This window comes from Homo sapiens, chromosome 7, assembly GCF_000001405.40.
Source record: "Homo sapiens chromosome 7, GRCh38.p14 Primary Assembly".
Classification (NCBI taxonomy): domain Eukaryota; kingdom Metazoa; phylum Chordata; class Mammalia; order Primates; family Hominidae; genus Homo; species Homo sapiens.
Genome location: NC_000007.14, coordinates 91800446 through 91802997, shown reverse-complemented (window position 1 = coordinate 91802997; position 2552 = coordinate 91800446). Strand labels below are relative to the sequence as shown.

Below are 2552 nucleotides of genomic sequence, written 5' to 3'. Positions count from 1 at the left end.
TTAGACATCAAACCTACAGAACTGTATATTAATAAATTGCTATTGTCAAAGCCACTAAATTTTTGGCCATTTATTACAGTAGCAATCAAAATGAATACAGCTTTTTGTTCTTCCGAAGTATTCTGCCCCTTCAAGCTGTTCTTTATAGGATAGCCAGGGTGACCTTTTAAAAAACAAATTCTACCAAAAGCTCAGGCAACAAAAACAGAAATAAATAAATGGGACTACATGACCACCTTGTAAAGATATCTGCACTCCCATATCACTGAAGCATTATTCAAAATAGCCAAGATATGGAACAACCTAAATGTCCATTTACAGAAAAATGGATAAAGAAAATGTGGTATATATATATATGTGTATATATTCAATGGGATTTTTTTTTTTTTTTGAGGCAGAGTCTTGCTCTGTCACCCAGGCTGGAGTGCAACGGTGTGATCTCGGCTCACTGCAACCTCCACCTCCTGGGTTCAAGCGAGTTTCCTGCCTCAGCCTCCTGAGTAGCTGGGATTACAGGTGCGTGCTACTACACCCAGCTAATTTTTGTATTTTTAGTAGAGATGAGGTTTCACCATATTGGTCAGGCTGGTCTTGAACTCTTGACCTTGTGATCTGCCCACTTCGGGCTCCCAAAGTGCTGGGAATACAGGAGTGAGCCAGCACGCCTGGCCTATTCGATGGAATATTATTCAGCCTTAAAAAGAATGAAATCCTGCTATTTGCCACAACATGGATGGACCTGGAGGACATTATACTAAGTGAAATAAGCTAGATGCAGAGAGAGAAATATTGCATGATCTCACTTTTATATGTGGAATACACACACACACACACACACACACACACACACACACACACACTTATATAGGCTCAAATACACAGAGTTAGAAAATGAAACAGTGATTACCATGAGTGGAGGGGAGGAGGCGGGGAAATGGGGAGATGTAGGTTAAAGGCTATAAAATAGCAGTTACGTAGGATGAACAAGTTTAGAGATCTAAGGTACAATATGAGTACTAAAGTTAATAAAATTGTACTGTATTGATGGCAGCAGTGGCCCATCTGGAGTGGCTGCTGCCATGATGCTGGTTGCAGTGTGGGAGGCTCTGCTGGGGCTGCATGTTCCATGGAGCCAGCAAGGGCTGGAAGCAGGCAGGAGCCCCACTCTTCTGGGCACAGCTGCAGCTACCCAAGTTGCGGCTGCAGACCTGGGCATCTCTGCACTCTCGGGGGCCTGGGAAGGCTCCCGTGCCCCTGCAGGCTCAGGGTGTCTGCTTCCAATGTCTGGACTCTCACTGCTCCTGGTGCCTGCTCTGATTTCAGAGCAAGGTTGGGGCTGAGCCTTGGTATTGTCACAGCCCAGCTGGGTATGTGCACGCTCGGGGTAGCACTGATACACCAGCCCCCTGCTGCTTCACCCCCTCTGGACTTTGGGCACTGATGAGCATGGGAGGGAGGCCAAGGAGGGGCTGAGGGCAGTTTGGTGCTGGCCTGCAGGTGTCCCTTAGCATGAGCAGCCTGGGCACCATGAACAGTGGCAGGAGGCATCAGGCTCCTGGGTGGAAGGGGGTGGGTCCCCTGACAAGCCCCAACTTCAAGCTGGGGAGGGTCTGAAGCCTAGGGGCTGGGCTGCCAGTCCCATGTACTGAAGTGGGAACTTGTGGTGCTTTTTCTGGGCCTGCTCATGGCTGTCCATGGACCAATCAGTGTGCACTTTCTCCCCTCTGAGGCCCATAAAAGCCCTGGATTCAGCCAGACGAGGATACAATGGGACGGCTAGCTGCGGAGAGAAGCTACCTGCTCAAGAGTCTCCCTTTTGCTGAGAGCTGAGTAGATGACGAAACAACCTGTGTGGAGAGAGGAGCTCCTCACTCCAGGGTCTCCTCTCTGCTCAGAGCTGAACACTCACTGGGACACCCTGGCTGTGGAGAGGAGCTACCCTCTGTGGGTCTCCTCTGAGCTGTTCTGTCACCCAATAAAACTCCTCTTCACCTTGCTCACCCTCCACTTGTCTGTGTACCTCATTCTTCCTAGATGCAGGACAAGAACTTGGGACTCACTGAATGGTGGGGCTAAAAGAGCTGTAACACAAATAGGGCTGAAATACACCCCTTGCTTGCCATGTTGTGGGTAAGAAGAAGGAAAGAAGAATGAAGAGCTGCAGCCCTTCAGGGAGCCCAGACCTAGGAGCTATCTGCACCATGACTGTGACACCCTCTTTAGGGCTCTGCGGTTTCTGGTGTCTCCAAGCTTCTAGGTGCCACCGTGTTTCCCAGTGCCAGCCATGGAAGCTGCTTGCAGTACACCTGGTCCAGCTGCAGGCTTGCAGGGAGCCAGCGCCTGTGCCAGTGCCTGGAGCTGCATGTCCCGCAGTCGCCAGTGTGCCTGGCTGTGCGCAGTAGTTAGACCCCACGCTCACTCATACACCCCTCACTGCTCTGTGCCTTGCTTGCCCTTGGCAGGCATGGGATCCAGGCCAGAAGCATGAGCTGACTGCAGTCTGGCAGGTCAAGTGGGTGGAATGAGCCCAGCAGGCCTGAGCAAAACTTGGG

At 50.6% G+C, this 2552-nt stretch overlaps 1 long non-coding RNA gene across 1 annotated transcript; it reads left to right on the top strand.

The window, feature by feature from the left end:
* The first annotated feature begins 474 nt into the window (after window positions 1-474).
* On the top strand, window positions 475-2007 carry LOC124901696 (uncharacterized). The gene is made up of 2 exons (XR_007060429.1): window positions 475-516; window positions 1730-2007. It is a non-coding gene; the product is annotated as an uncharacterized LOC124901696 (long non-coding RNA).
* Window positions 2008-2552: the final 545 nt, after the last annotated feature.